The sequence below is a fragment of the Homo sapiens genome, chromosome 10 (assembly GCF_000001405.40).
Source record: "Homo sapiens chromosome 10, GRCh38.p14 Primary Assembly".
Lineage (NCBI taxonomy): Eukaryota > Metazoa > Chordata > Mammalia > Primates > Hominidae > Homo > Homo sapiens.
Window position 1 is genome coordinate 130,136,372 of NC_000010.11, and position 14,315 is coordinate 130,150,686.

Below are 14,315 nucleotides of genomic sequence, written 5' to 3' on the forward strand. Positions count from 1 at the left end.
CCCACATCCGGCCGCCGGCACTGGATTGCTTCTGTCTGGCGGCGGCAGCATGGCGGCGGGGGCGGCTGAGGCAGCTGTAGCGGCCGTGGAGGAGGTCGGCTCAGCCGGGCAGTTTGAGGAGCTGCTGCGCCTCAAAGCCAAGTAAGCGGGGCGGCGAGCGGTAGGAGTGAGGAGCCGGAGCGGGAGCGGCCGCGAGACCGGGCCGGTGTGGGGCGGCGGGTGGCCCAGCCTGGCTTCTTGGTGCCCGGCTCCCTTCGGCCTCGGGGGACCGGGCCCGGCGCCACCCGTAGACTCCCCCGAGCCTCCGCGTGAGTGGCCCGAGCCGCAGGTTCCCCGCCCCGGAACAGCGAGCAGGGCGCGAGGCTCGCCTGGAAGCCCCGGCCCCAGCCCTGGCTCCGACCCCGACGGCTGTCCAAGCCCGGGGGACGCGACCTTCCCGGCCTCTGGCCTGGGCGGCCCCGCCGCGGGACGGAGGCGGTGGTGACTCAGCCGTGCCGCAGTGGCGGGGCGGGGGACGGGGCGGCGCCGAGACCCCGGCCCTCCGCGCCACGGAGCGGGACCCACGGCTGCGGGCTCCACCTTTCCTGTGCCCGCCGGGAGGGAGCGGCAGGCTCGGCGTCGGCCCATTGCTCTTCAGCCTCCCTTCAGGAACGCCCCTGTCGCAGGAAGAGCGGCGAGGGAAGGCCCCGTTGCATTAGCTAGGCCTGGCTGCCTTTTGAAGTCAGCCTTTAAAGTTTGTTGGACAGCAGGTAGCCTCAGTCTTCAGACTTAACCTGTTGCCGGAGACAGAGATTTCCTGTTCCATGAACTGGTGTAGTGAGAGTCTGTTCAGATTTGGCGCCGGTGTCCAGGTCTTCAATCCCTGGGAAGACTACAAAAGGAGATCCAGAGGAATGCATAGAAAGCGTTTTCTGGGTGGACTAGAAGCTCTGAACTGCAAGCATGCTTACGAGTAAATGCTTACTAGCGTGCGTGCCTGCAGGGAAAGGTCTGCACGTGGACTCTCCGTGATAATACCACCTCACATTGTAGACTACTCCAAGGACTGAGTTGTTCTCTTAGTTGTATTATTAGCGGTTGTTATGGGAACTCTTATGTCGGATTGCCTGGGATCCAGTCCCACCGCAGCCACTCAGTAGCCATGTAACCCCTGGGCACGTTTCATGCCCAAGCCTCAGTTTCCCGACGGTGACATAGATTAGCACCTGTTAGTACCTCAGGGTTGTTGTGAGGGTTAAATGAGATGACGTATGTAAAATACAAATAATACAATGCCTAGTATGCAGGAAGCACTCAGTAGATGTTGGCACTTAGTATTTCAGTAGGAAGTAGAATGGTTCATGGAATTCACAGGCAAAAAGCTTTGTTTTGTTTTGTTTTTGAGACAGGGTCTGGCTCTGTCACCCAGGCTGCAGTGTAGTGGAGCGATCACGGCTCCCTGCAGCCTCCGCCTCCCAGGCTCAAGTGATCGACCCACCTCATCCTCCCGAGTAGCTGGGACCACAGGTGCTCACCACCACGCCCGTCTAATTTTTATTTTTTTTTATAGAGACGAGGTCTCGCCATGTTGCCCAGCCTCGTCTCGACCTTCTGGACTCGAGCGATCTGCCCTCCTCAGCCTCCCAAAGGGTTGGGATTACAGGTGTGAGCTACCACGTCCGGCCAGAAATGCTTATTGATCTAAATTTTGTTTTGTTTGTTTTCGAGACAGGCTGTTGCTCTGTTGCCCAGGCTGAGTGCAGTGGCGTGATCTCGGCTCACTGCAGCCTCTACCTCCTGGGTTCAAGCGATCCTCCCACCTCAGCCTCCTGAGTATCTGGGACTACACGTGCGGTCCACCACGCTGGGCTAATTTGTGTATTTTTCGTAGAGGCAGGGTTTCCTCATGTTGCCCAGGCTGGTCTCTGGAACTCCTGAGCTCAAGTGATTCGCCTGCCTCGGCCTTGTAAAGTATCGGGATTACAGGCTTGAGCCCCCGTGACCTGCCCTGTTGATCTAAATTGAGTGAAATTTTGCCGACTGAATTTGAATTAGAGGCAAGTAGTACTCTGATTTTGCAATGGAGAGTGCAGGTGAGATGGGGTGTTGCCTTTGGAAATGGGGAGGGGTGCGAGTTACTGACTAATGGTTAGAAATGCTTTATGGGGGTGATGAAATTAAAGTGTTATTTAAACAGCTCTTTAGGCATTTCAGGTTTACCTGGGAAATTGTTACGGAAAAAAGCAGGGGTTGGGGAGGGACATGTGACATTTACTCACTGATGGAAGCTGGGCTCTGACTCATCCAGTACAGATCAGCACAATCACAGGAGTCACCAGAAGTGGCCTCTTGAAATGAGCAGGTCTTGTGTGGACCTGCCCTAAGTAAACGTTTTGAATTTACCATCACCTGAAAGGCTGTTTTGTCTGTTTTACATGTTTGTTTTAAATGCTTCATGTTTTAAAAAGTCCTTAAACTATCAAAATGAATAAAAGTGTTTTTTTTTTTTTTTTTTTTTGGGGGGGAGACAGAGTCTCTCTCTGTTGCCCAGGCTGGAGTAGAGTGCAGTGACACAATCTTGGCTCACTGCAACCTCTGCCTCACGGGTTCAAATGATTCTCCTGCCTCAGCCTTCTGAGTAGCTGGGATTACAGGTGCCCGCCACCACGCCTGGCTAATTTTTGCATTTTTAGTAGAGATGGGTTTCACCATGTTGGCCAGGCTGGTCTTGAACTCCTGACCTTAGGTGATGGGCCCGCTTCCCAGCGTGCTGGGATTACAGGCATGAGCCACTGCGCCCGGCCAAAATGGATAAAAGTTTAAATGTAAGTACCATTTGGATGTTGTATCCTTGCCGCTGGCCTGTACTTGAAATGGCCCAGGAAACAATGTGCACTTTCCTTAGTGACTAGTTCAAACGGACACGTGATAAATGATGTGTGGCATCTGGGGAAGGAGCACATTTCTGCAGCTTTTTTGGTGAAGATGGAGACATTTAAGAATATTAGGCCGGGCGCGGTGGCTCACGCCTGTAATCCCAGCACTTTGGGAGGCCGAGGTGGGTGGATCACGAGGTCAGGAGATCGAGACCATCCTGGCTAACACGGTGAAACCCCGTCTTTACTAAAGAAAATACAAAAAATTAGCCAGGCATGGTGGCAGGTGCCTGTAGTCCCAGTTACTCGGGAAGCTGAGGCAGGCGAATGGCATGAACCTGGGAGGCGGAGCTTGCAGTGAGCCAAGATCGTGGCACTGCACTCCAGCCTGGACGACAGACGAAGACTCCATCTCAAAAAAAAAAAAACCAAAAAAAGAATATCATGGTGGCTTACACCAGCAAACCCAGCACTTTGGGAGGATGGCTTGAGGCCAGGAGTTTGAGAGTAGCTTGAACAACATAGAACCCATCTCTACAAAAAATAAAAAAAGTAGCCAGGCATGGTGATGCATGCCTGTAGTCCCCAGCTACTCAGGAGGCTGAGGTGGGAGGATTGTTTGAGCCCAGGAGTTCCAAGCTGCGGTGAGCTATGATCCTGCCACTGTACTCCAGCCTGGGTGACAGAGTGAGACCCTGTCTCAAAAAACAAAAAGTGCCCGAATTTTAGTACTTGTGTTGATGTAATAATTTTAAATCTACTTTCCAAATCATCGCTTCTCCAATTTTAAAATTTGACATGAATTGAAATTTTTTTCTTTTAAGTAGTTGAATCAGATATTTACATAAGTTGCTGAAATCTCAGCTGGTTTGTACAATGGGGTTATTAATATCCATTTGCAGAGTAAGCAGGTTTAGTATATGATATGTTTAATAAGCAGTAGCTGGTATCTGCAGATGAATGTAGTAGCAGAATACTATAATAATTGAAAAACAACTATTTGCTGATGAAGAGCTGAAGTTTATTACATTGTCTAAAGTTACATTAGTCAGGATTTGAATGTGGTTTTTGTCTGATGGTTTTTCTCCAACAATGCTCCAGGCATATGGGGCTATCCATTAAGATGGAAAGAATACTGTAACATGTAATCCAAAAGGGGATAACGTTTATATTTGTTTCAGATATAGTATGTCCTTATAATATTGGACATTATGTGCTTAATTGAGAAATGGAAGGTAAGCATTAAATAGGAGAATATTGTGGATAATTTCAACTAACAATATCATGTTTTAATGTTTTCAAATGTTTTATATTTTTGTTTCATCTTCTCAACATCCCAGAGTGTTGGTTATTGCTGTTTTACAGATGTGGAAGTTAAATTACTCTTCAAAACCATGTTAGTAATAATGAAACTGAAATGAATTCAGTTTCTATGGCATACTTTCTTCTTTTCTTTTTTACTTATTTGGGCTCATACTATTATAAAGTTTGGTAACCTACTTTAATTTTTGAAAAATGTAGTTATATTAGTATTTTCCTGTGGCGTTGAAAGTTCTTTGAAAATTTGATTTGTAATGGCTTTATGTTTTCTTATGACCATTTAAAAACTATTATTGAGCATCAGAAATTTTTCTGATTTGCTACGTAAAGTAGTGGGAAAATATCCATGTACAGAAAATCTTTGTCTCTTAATTACTTCCTTAGGATTGATACTTATGTGTAAGAAATTTCTGAAAGGTCCCAATTTAATTTTTACCAGCAGGACATGAAAGTACTTCTCGTCATCCTTTTTATCATTGAATATTATGATTTAAACAGTCCTTTTGTTGGCTGGGCACGGTGGCTCATGACTGTAATCCCAGCACTTTGAGAGGCGAATGCAGGCAGATTGATTGCTTGAGCCCAGGAGTTTGAGACCAGCCTGGTCATTGGCCAAAGCCCAACTTTACAAAGAACAAAATATGCCTGTAGTCTGGGAGGCTGAGGTGGGAGGATCACCTGAGCCCAGGAAGTCGAGGCTGCACTTGCCTTGCACTCCAGACTGGGCATTAGAGTAAGACCCTGTCTCAAAAAAAGAAAAAAAAAATTTTTTTTTTGGTCAATTTGGTGGAAAATGGTATCCCAGCTTTAAAAAGAAATTGAAGTATTACATACAGTAACAATGCACAGATCTTAATCGTCAGATGTGGTGAATTTTCACAATTGTATACACACCGATAACCACCATTCACAGGAAGAATATAGAACCCAGGAAGTTTTCCATCCCCTTTAGCCCAGCTACTGATTTCTTACTGTCACTGTAGATGAGTTTTCCCTGCTCTTGGACTTTGTGTGAGTAGAATCATACAGTTCTTTGTCTGTGTTATCTTTTGCTCACATATTTTCAAGCTTCATTTGTGTCATTGCTCATGTCTGTGGTTGGTTCCTTTTTACTGGTAAGTTACATTCTGTTGTATGAATGTCTATCACTTTCTCCTGTTGGCGGACATTTGGCTAATTTCCAGTTTTGATTTATTATGTATAGGGCTGCTGTGAGCATTCTTGCATGAGGCCTCTGTGAACCTCTGTTTTGTTCTTGCCATCCTTAGGCAATGGACAAAAAAGCTTCCCTGGATCCTCTTCATTGCTGGAGGCTATGGTGGGCAGAGGCTCCTGAGGGAGGGTTTTGAGGGGTCAGGCCTGTGTTCTAGTTTTAGGGCCAGAATTCAGTTCCAGGGCCCCAGACAACTGCAAGGAAGACTGAAAAATGTAATCTAGCTGAATGCACAGGAGGAAGATGAAACAGTGCTTGATTGAAACAGCACAGTCTCTGCCGTGGACCTGAGGCCCCACCTACTCAACCATTGAAGCTGCTGAGTTGTGCTGGATGCAAATTAACATCCGGTGACTAGGGGCTCCTACAATGTGTCCTTCCCTGCCTTAGGTGGGTCTTCATTTGGAGCTTCCTGCTTTCCTTGTGTGCCTGTGGACACTCTCCCTTCATCAGTCCTACCAGTGGTCTTGCCCTCTGTTTTCCTATGCTTTGATAAATGACCTTGCTTCCCACCTGAGAGAAAACAGGATTTCAGGTAGCATCTCCCCAAGCCCTCCTTCCACTCTCACCTCTCCCAACACTTACCATTTATTTGTAGCCTTACCCATTCTTAATTCCTTGGCTCCTGACTCAGAGGAGACTGCCTTCTTCTTCTTCAAGGTAAGCTCTTCTCTGCTCTGGATTTCCCCTCTCCTGCCTCTTCTGAGTCCTTGCATCCTCAGCTGTCTTGTGTCTACGGCCCTTCCCTCTCCATTTGCACTATCCCCTAGTAAAATAAACATATAAGGATTTTCTTGTATTAAAAAGGCCCATCCCTTGATTTTGTCTTTTTCTCTGCCTGTACAGATCTCTTAGAGTACATCTCTGCTTCCTCATCTTCACTTCAGTCCTCAGTGGACTGCAGTCTGACCTGTGCTTCTGCTATTCCATTGAAGGTACTCTCTCTGTTAGTTGCCCTTTCCTGTTGCATTGGATGATTGTCACTCCCTCTTGACACTCTTCTCTTGACTTCTATGTGACCCTTCAATCTTCCAGTACCGCCTAGGACCCCTTAATCTTCCAGTACCGCCTAGGACCCCTTCTCTGCTTTACTACATAAGTTCCTTCTCCTCCATCTGTCCTAACTTAATGTTGATAAGCCCCCTGAGGCGCTGACCTCGGGTCTCCTCTGTGTCCCTCTGTAACCCTTTGCGGTGTGGTGCTGGCACTGTTCCTTTCTTGATTCCCAAATCTGTATATCAGGTGCAGACTTCTTCCCTGAGCTCTAGACATCATACTAACAACCCATTAAACTTCCTTTCCTCAGGTTGGCAGCTTCTGCACTATGATTTGAGGCATAGTGCCACCACTAGCCATCAGTCTCTAAGCCAGAACTTGGAGCCAGCTGTAGACTGCCTTATCTGTCACCAAATCCTGCCCCTTCTACCTTCGAAATCCTCATGCTGCTCTTTGCTTCTGCTTTCCTGACACTTTATTGTAGGCTTATTCTCTTCTCGCTGGTATTATTTGATCAGTTTTTACAGTTTGTTATTCCTTTCCTTACCCATAGGTTAGTTGTCCTTGGTTCTTTTTGCCATGGAACATATTTCTGTTCGTGATTTTTCAGATTTTTTTGGGAGGTGGTATTATATTTGAACAGAATTCCATAAAACTGAAGGATTTTTTAGTTGGATATGACCATAGATATCTTTGCCAAGATAATTTTGTGTGAAAACTAACTAAAATAGATACTGAGTTATTAATATATTCTGTGTGTTCATACTATAAATGTTTAGAATTTTTTTTTTTTAAATGGGTCTTGCTCTGTTGCCCACACTGGAGTGTAGTGGTATGATCATGGCTCACTACAGCCTCGACCCCCTGGGCTCAAGTAATCCTTCCACCTTAGTCTGCCAGAATGCTGAGTACAGGCATGAGCCACCTTGCCTGGCCTAGAAAAATCTTTTTTTTTTTTTTGAGGCAGAGTCTTGCTCTGCCATCCAGGCTGCAGTGCAGTGGTGTGATCTCAGCTCACTGTAACCTCTGCCTTCTGGGTTCAAACAATTCTTCTGCCTCAGCCTCCTGAGTAGCTGGGATTACAGGCATGCACCAACACACCCGGCTAATTTTTTGTGCTTTTAGTAGAGTTGGGGTTTCACCACATTAGCCAGGCTGGTCTCGAACTGCCGACCTCAAGTGATCTGCCTGCCTCGGCCTCCCAAAGTGCTGGGATTACAGGTGTGAGCCACTGCTCTGGGTCTAGAAAAATCTTTTGTAGCATAATATTAAAAAGTATAAAAAAAAGTCTTTGTGAAAAGCAGTTCTATTCTTTTCCTCGTTTTGCACTGGCATGCCTTCATTTTCAACACTTACTGCTGTTTCTATGGTCACGGTTATGTCTCTCCATCACTATACCACATTTAAAAAGTAAATAATGATATTATTAGTAATGTGTCTACAACCATTTTTCACAAACATTGTGCCATTAATACAGAAATTCAGTTTCCACTTTGCCCAGGGGTCTGAAAATATGGTTGATTTGCCTGGCTTTTTTTTTTTTTTTTTCGTTTACTTTAAGTTCTGGGATACATATGCAGAATGTGCAGGTTTCTTACATAGGTATGCATGTGCCATGGTGGTTTGCTGCACCTATCAACCCATCATCTAGGTTTTAAGCCCTGCATGCATTAGGTATTTGTCCTAATGCTTTCTCTCCCCTTGCCCCCCACCCCCTGACAGGCCCTGGTATGTGATGTTCCCCTCCCTGTGTCCGTGTGGTTTCATTGTTCACCTCCCACTTATGAATGAGAACATGCAATGTTTGTTTTTCTGTTCCTGTGTTAGTTTACTGAGAATGGTGGCTTCCAGCTTCATCCATGTCCCTGCAAAGGACATGAACTCATTCCTTTTTATGACTGCATAGTATTCCATGGTATATATGTGCCACATTTCCTTTATCCAGTCTGTCATTGACAGGCATTTGGGTTGGTTCCAAGTCTTTGATATTGTAAATAGTGCTGCAATAACATAATGTGTGCATGTGTCTTTATAGTAGAATGATTTATAATCTTTTGGGTATATACCCAGTAATGGGATTGCTGGGTCAAATGGTATTTCTGGTTCTAGATCCTTGAGGAATTGCCACACTGTCTTCCACAATGGTTGAACTAATTTACACTCCCACCAACAGTGATTTACATGACTTTTAATTGAGGTGGATGAATATTCAGATCTACTTCAAATGGGCTTCACTTGAAATATCATTGAATTGAAAATTTATCTGAAAGAGTCTCAAGACCTTGCAGAGTGCTTTTATGTTCCAGTGTTGTATACAACAAAATTCTAGCAATATGAAAAACTTCAGACGGTTCTTTTAAAGCTTTCTTTTTTTTCTTTTTGGTAATTTATATCAGTATTTGTGTATTTCCAAAATTGGTATAATTTTAAATAAATGCATTTAATTGATTTACAGGTCCCTCCTTGTGGTCCATTTCTGGGCACCATGGGCTCCACAGTGTGCACAGATGAACGAAGTTATGGCAGAGTTAGCTAAAGAACTCCCTCAAGTTTCATTTGTGAAGGTATTTATATTTCAATGTCATGTCTTTTGTGAATTTAATTCTGATTTATGGGTTAGATTAGGGCTGGGTGCGGTAGCTCACACCTGTAATCCCAGCACTTTGGGAGGCTGAGGCGGGCAGATCACCTGAGTTCAGTAGTTTGAGACCAGCCCAGCCAACATAGTGAAACCCTGTCTCTACTAAAATACAAAAATTAGCTGGGCGTGGTGGCGGGTGCCTATAATCCCAGCTATGTGGGAGGCTGAGGCAGGAGAATCTTTTGAACCCGGGAGGCAGAGATTGCAGTGAGCCGAGATTGTGCCACTGCACTCCAGCCTGGGTGACAGAGCGAGACGCTGTCTCTAAATAAATAAATAAATAAAATAAAAAATTAGATTTTATTAACTAATATAAAGATGGAGTGGTATGGAATTCCAAATATGTATAATTGGTGTGGGATCTGTTATTTTTGCACATCATTCTTAAAAATCTTAAAATAATTTTGCATTTTTTTTTTTTTTGAGACAGAGTCTTGTTCTGTCGCCCAGGCTGGAGTGCAGCTCCAGCTCACTGCAACCTCTGCCTCCCCGGTTTAAGCGATTTTCCTGCCTAAGCCTCCCGAGTAGCTGGGACTACAGGCACATGCCACCACACCCAGCTAATTTTTTGTATTTTTAGTAGAGATGGGGTTTCACCATCTTAGCCAGGATAGTCTTGGTCTCTTGACCTCGTGATCTGCTCACCTTGGCCTCCCAAAGTACTGTGATTAGGCGTGAGCCACCACGCCTGGCCAAATGTACACTTTTCCTTGATCATCCTCGGGTGTGAGGCATGACTACCAAATGTCAAGGTGGCTGTGGGCTGGAGTTTTGGAGAGCACAGGCAGACAAATTAGTTCCCTGTGGGTAACTGTGGTTTTAAGGCATTTAAAATAGTAACACAAATTATGTCATTGAAAAGCTAGGTGTGCTGTAGAAAATAATTCAGGAAGGGGTATGTAAATGCTGCTAGGGACCAGGGAACAGGAAGTTGCTATCTTGGTTTAGATGAAGGCAGACCTCCGGGAGAAGGTGAAAGTCTTTCTAACCTGTTCAGAATGTAGAGGAAGATGGAAGCCAGTCAGTCTCTTCCTTGCCTCTTTTGTTTTTCACTCTGGTTATGTGTACTCCTACATTCCTGCTGTCTCTCTTGAGTGGATGAGTGCTAGGAAAGCTGTAGTTTTGACTGTGGATTAACTCAATTGGTTTAGCACGTTAAAGATATTATTCAGGACTTAGTACTGGTTTAGGCAGCAGGGCCAAAATATGTGTTGAGAGTCTTAGAAATGAATTATCAGGAGGGGAGGTGCACCTTGTATTCCCAAGCCTGAATCCTTAAGATTTAAAAAACAAATGAAAAACCAAAGTCTTATTTTTTAAAACAAGAATCTGTGAGTTCAGAGTACATGTTACCCAATATACTCATATATGGGATTAAAAATAACATCAACTGTATTGGTCTGTATGCCTCTTTCTATGTAAACTGAAAACACAGAATTTTGACAGGGTAATTCATTCGTATAGTAGGTGATAAAATTTTCAGGAGGCTTCTGTATAAATAAGTTTGCTTTGAATAGGCATTATACTCAGTTGGCTCAAAATTCCAAACAGTGTAGAAAGATGTCCGTTGAGAAGGCCCACCCCGTTCCTCTGTTGTCACCCTTGTGTCCCACCACATAAGTAACTGCTTGTATTAATTTTGTATGAATCCTTCTAGTGTTTCTTTATGCAAATAGGGCAGATGTGAATATAGTGATTAGCTTTTTAAAATTTAAGGACTTATTTAAAATTCCAATGAAATGTATAATGTAACTGTAGAGTGTAACCCTAAAATGTCCAATATAAATAATAGAAGGGGGCATTAAAACTGCATGTTTGGTCAGTGATAAAAGATAATGATTACAAGTGAAATGAATGATTAAACATTTCAATCATAAGATTAATCAAGATGATGGTAATTGTTCTAAGTCTGCTTTTATGTGTATCATGTTACTGGTTTAGGTAACACATTGTTCTTAGCTGCTATCTGAATGATTTATTTAAAGTGACTATAGAATTACTTCTCACATTGGTACCAGACTTGGCAGTGAGATTTTAAGTTGTTCAAGTGCTTAAGTATCTCTGTGAGCCAAAGGTTGGAGGAGCCCTCAGCGATTTTGGGTTGTGGGGGATACCTGAGCCTGACTGCACCTGCCACTCATGAGGATGATGACAGCGTAAGATTGGTCATTCTTCCAGGAGTCATCACTTTCCAGAAATTCACTCTATAACATAGTTTTTCTTTGATTAGCCATCATTAAGGGCAAAGGTACTTTCCATGGCATTTGTAAGGCAGCTAATTAAAAGGCACTTGCCGGACAATAGTAAGCAAAAGAGAAGTAGAATGAGAGATCATCGTTCTTTCCCAGTAAGAGAGGCGTGCAGGCTGGGCGCCTCGGCTCACACCTGTAATCCCAACACCTCTTGAGGCTGAGGTGGGAGGATTGCTTGAGGCCAGGAATTCAAAACCAGCCTGATGCACATAGCAAAACCATCTCTACAAAAGAAAAACTAAAAAAGTTAGCTGTGCATGTTGGTGTGCACCTGTAGTCCCAGTTACTTGGGAGGATAAAGCAGAGGATTCCTTGAGCCCAGGAGGTCTCAAGGCGGTCACACCACTGGACGTAGAGTGATACCATGTCTCAAAAAAAAGGAGGAATGTAGTTCATTTTAAAACAGCTTTCTTTTTGTTAATGAGAGTTTTTGGAAAGTTCTAGAGTATGAACTAATGTTCTTCTGCTTCATCTTGTGTCTATTTGATTTCTTAGTCTTTTTTTTGGAGACAAGGTCTCACTCTTATTGCCCAGGCTGTAGTGCAGTGATCTTGGCTCACTGCAGCCTCTACCTCCCAGGCTCAAGCAATTTCTCCACCTTAGCCTCCCGAATAGCTGGGACTATAGGTGTACACCCCTGCCCAGCTAATTTTTGTATTTTTTGTAGCGATACGGTTTCACCATGTTGCTCAGGCTGGTCTTGAACTCATGGGCTCAAGCAGTCTGCCTACCTTGGCCTCCCAAAGTGCTCAGATTATAGATGTGAGCCACTTTGCCCTTCAGTCTTTTTTTTTTTTTTTTTTTTTTTTTTTAATGATGAAATGGTTTGGCATTTTTGGCTTGTGAAGTAAAGGGATCAGTTCATTTTTGTGACTGGGATTTATAAAATCATTAAATAAGTGATCATACACTAGATATTTTTAAACAGATTGTAAACTTTTGTGACTATCAACAATTTCTTATTTTGTAGGAGCTGGTAAAAATAGAGTTAGAAGAGTTAGTCACCCATTTTTGGTCAGAGTAGTTAGTTTGTGCTCTTTGGAATTGAATGCTGAAAGACAAGGTTTTCATATTTATTGCATCTGAATCCCTCATTCTCTGTATTGATGATATGGTCGTAAAGTGTATTTGGGGTGGGGCACAGTGGCTCACACCTGTAATCCCAGCACTTTGGGAGGTGTGAGTGGGAGGATTGTTCAAGGACAGGAGTTCGAGACCAGCCTGGGCAACATAGGGAGACTTCATCTCTACAGAATAAAAATTTAAAAAACTAGCTGTGTACACCTGTTGCCCCAGCTACTTGGGAGGCTGTGGTGGGAGGATTGCTTAAGTCCAGGAGTTAGAGGCTGCAGTGAGCTATGATTGTGCCACTATACTCCAGCTTGGGTGACAGAGTGAGACCTTGTCTCTTAAAAAAAAATTAAAAAGTGCATCTGTACTCCTTTTGGGTGCTGTGTTTATAATGGGTGGTGTTCCATTTACCTGAGTCACTGCCATGTCTAGTGGGCTCTTCTGGGCTCCGTCCTGAGTTTGTCACACCTCCTAGGGCCCAGAGGAGATGATGTGGTATTTCTATCACTAAAAGGAGTTCAAGACCAGCTTGAGTAACATGGTGAAACCCTGTCTCCACTAAAAATACAGAATTTAGCCAGGCATGATGGCGCATGCCTGTAATCCCAGCTACTCGGGAGGCCGAGGCAGGAGAATCATTTCAACCCAGGAGGTGGAGGTTGCAGTGACCCGAGATCGCGCTACTGCACTCCGGCCTGCGTGACAGAGCAAGACTCCGTCTCAAAAAAAAAAAACAAAACAGGAAAAGTCTTAGAGAAACCTTGTGTTTATTCAGAATAAAATGAAATAGTTAAAATGTTTTAGTGCCTTTTATTTTCAAATTACATAGTCAGTATCTTCTCTCATACTGATTCTTGTTTGTATCTTTACCCAAAATAGGAGTACACCTTTGTCATTTAATTAATTGTTTGATATAATCTTCCAAAATATGGTATCTGGCAGAGGGGGGTGGGAGAGAGGAAGAATAGCACAAGGCTTTGTTGGGTGCCTGCTGCTGGTTGTATTTGAGATCCAAATCAACTATTTTGTATGAAATCGTAGCTATTTTTTCCTGTAGCTTTTTTTTTTTTGGTCTCTGTGCCATTGGTTGCTTGGATCAGGAAATGCCCTATATTTTTGTCTATATTGTCATTTAATTCCTTTTTTCATTGCCTCCTTGACTAGATGGTGAGATACTTGACATGGGGACCTTTACCTCATCAGGTTTTCATTAGTAAAAAAAAAAAAAAAAAAATAGGGCCGGGCATGGTGGCTCACGCTTGTAATCCCAGCACTTTGGGAGGCCGAGGCGGGTGGATCACGAGGTCAGGAGATTGAGACCATCCTGGCTAACACGGTGAAACCCCATCTCTACTAAAAATACAAAAAAAATCAGCCAGCTGTGGTGGGACATGCCTCTATTCCCAGCTAGTCGGGAGGCTGAGGCAGGAGAATTGCTTGAACCCAGGAGGCGGAGGTTGCAGTGAGTTGAGACCACACCACTGCATTCCAGCCTGGATAACAGAGCAAGACTCCATCTCAAAAAAAAAAAAAAAAGAAAGAAAGAAAAAGAAAAAAATGACTTTCCTTTGTTCGAATGGCTCTTGCTTTCCATGCAAGCCTCCCTGATCCCACTTCCAGCTTACTGCTCCCATCCTGCTAGGCCATAGTATACTCATTTTACCATATCATGTACTTCAGTGCAAACATTCTCAAAGTCAGACTTACCAGCTAGCTGGTTGGTGAGATTTTATACTATTGTATTTCATTTGACATTAATTTTGTTTATATAGTAGCTGCTGTACTTGCATTTTATTTTCATTGTAATTTAAAATATACGATCAAGGGTATGGAGGAGTTACGTATTTAAATGTATTTTTGCTTCTTGAAAAACAAGAATCTTTATTCTTATTTTGAAAGTGCGACTATCTTAAAGATACAGATTGCACTGTTGAATTTCTAAAGATCTGTACAATCATTATAAATGT

General features: G+C 43.8%; 1 protein-coding gene across 3 annotated transcripts in view, besides 7 other annotated features; it reads left to right on the forward strand.

Annotated features, from left to right (window-relative positions):
• Window positions 2-601: a silencer, noted in NCBI's record as "silent region_2942". NCBI's record gives its function as "represses an Ori minimal core promoter by ATAC-STARR-seq in GM12878 lymphoblastoid cells {active_cell/tissue: GM12878}" and the evidence as "EXISTENCE:reporter gene assay evidence [ECO:0000049][PMID:35858748]".
• Window positions 20-14,315, forward strand: part of GLRX3 (glutaredoxin 3) — a 43,987-nt gene continuing 29,691 nt past the window's right edge. For all 3 annotated transcript variants that reach the window (NM_001199868.2, NM_001321980.2, NM_006541.5), the window contains exons 1-2: window positions 20-141; window positions 8,840-8,948. In NM_001199868.2, the coding sequence (NP_001186797.1) occupies window positions 50-141; window positions 8,840-8,948 (201 nt within the window). In that variant the 5' untranslated portion in view covers window positions 20-49. The remainder of the gene's footprint in view (window positions 142-8,839; window positions 8,949-14,315) is intronic.
• Window positions 802-851: an enhancer, noted in NCBI's record as "active region_4210". NCBI's record gives its function as "activates an Ori minimal core promoter by ATAC-STARR-seq in GM12878 lymphoblastoid cells {active_cell/tissue: GM12878}" and the evidence as "EXISTENCE:reporter gene assay evidence [ECO:0000049][PMID:35858748]".
• Window positions 1,130-1,765: an enhancer, noted in NCBI's record as "H3K27ac-H3K4me1 hESC enhancer chr10:131935765-131936400 (GRCh37/hg19 assembly coordinates)". NCBI's record gives its function as "activates a minimal SCP1, AML or CMV promoter by ChIP-STARR-seq in primed H9 embryonic stem cells {active_cell/tissue: H9 hESC(primed)}" and the evidence as "EXISTENCE:reporter gene assay evidence [ECO:0000049][PMID:30033119]".
• Window positions 1,766-2,400: an enhancer, noted in NCBI's record as "H3K27ac-H3K4me1 hESC enhancer chr10:131936401-131937035 (GRCh37/hg19 assembly coordinates)". NCBI's record gives its function as "activates a minimal SCP1, AML or CMV promoter by ChIP-STARR-seq in primed H9 embryonic stem cells {active_cell/tissue: H9 hESC(primed)}" and the evidence as "EXISTENCE:reporter gene assay evidence [ECO:0000049][PMID:30033119]".
• Window positions 5,323-5,372: an enhancer, noted in NCBI's record as "active region_4211". NCBI's record gives its function as "activates an Ori minimal core promoter by ATAC-STARR-seq in GM12878 lymphoblastoid cells {active_cell/tissue: GM12878}" and the evidence as "EXISTENCE:reporter gene assay evidence [ECO:0000049][PMID:35858748]".
• Window positions 5,383-5,452: an enhancer, noted in NCBI's record as "active region_4212". NCBI's record gives its function as "activates an Ori minimal core promoter by ATAC-STARR-seq in GM12878 lymphoblastoid cells {active_cell/tissue: GM12878}" and the evidence as "EXISTENCE:reporter gene assay evidence [ECO:0000049][PMID:35858748]".
• Window positions 5,473-5,532: an enhancer, noted in NCBI's record as "active region_4213". NCBI's record gives its function as "activates an Ori minimal core promoter by ATAC-STARR-seq in GM12878 lymphoblastoid cells {active_cell/tissue: GM12878}" and the evidence as "EXISTENCE:reporter gene assay evidence [ECO:0000049][PMID:35858748]".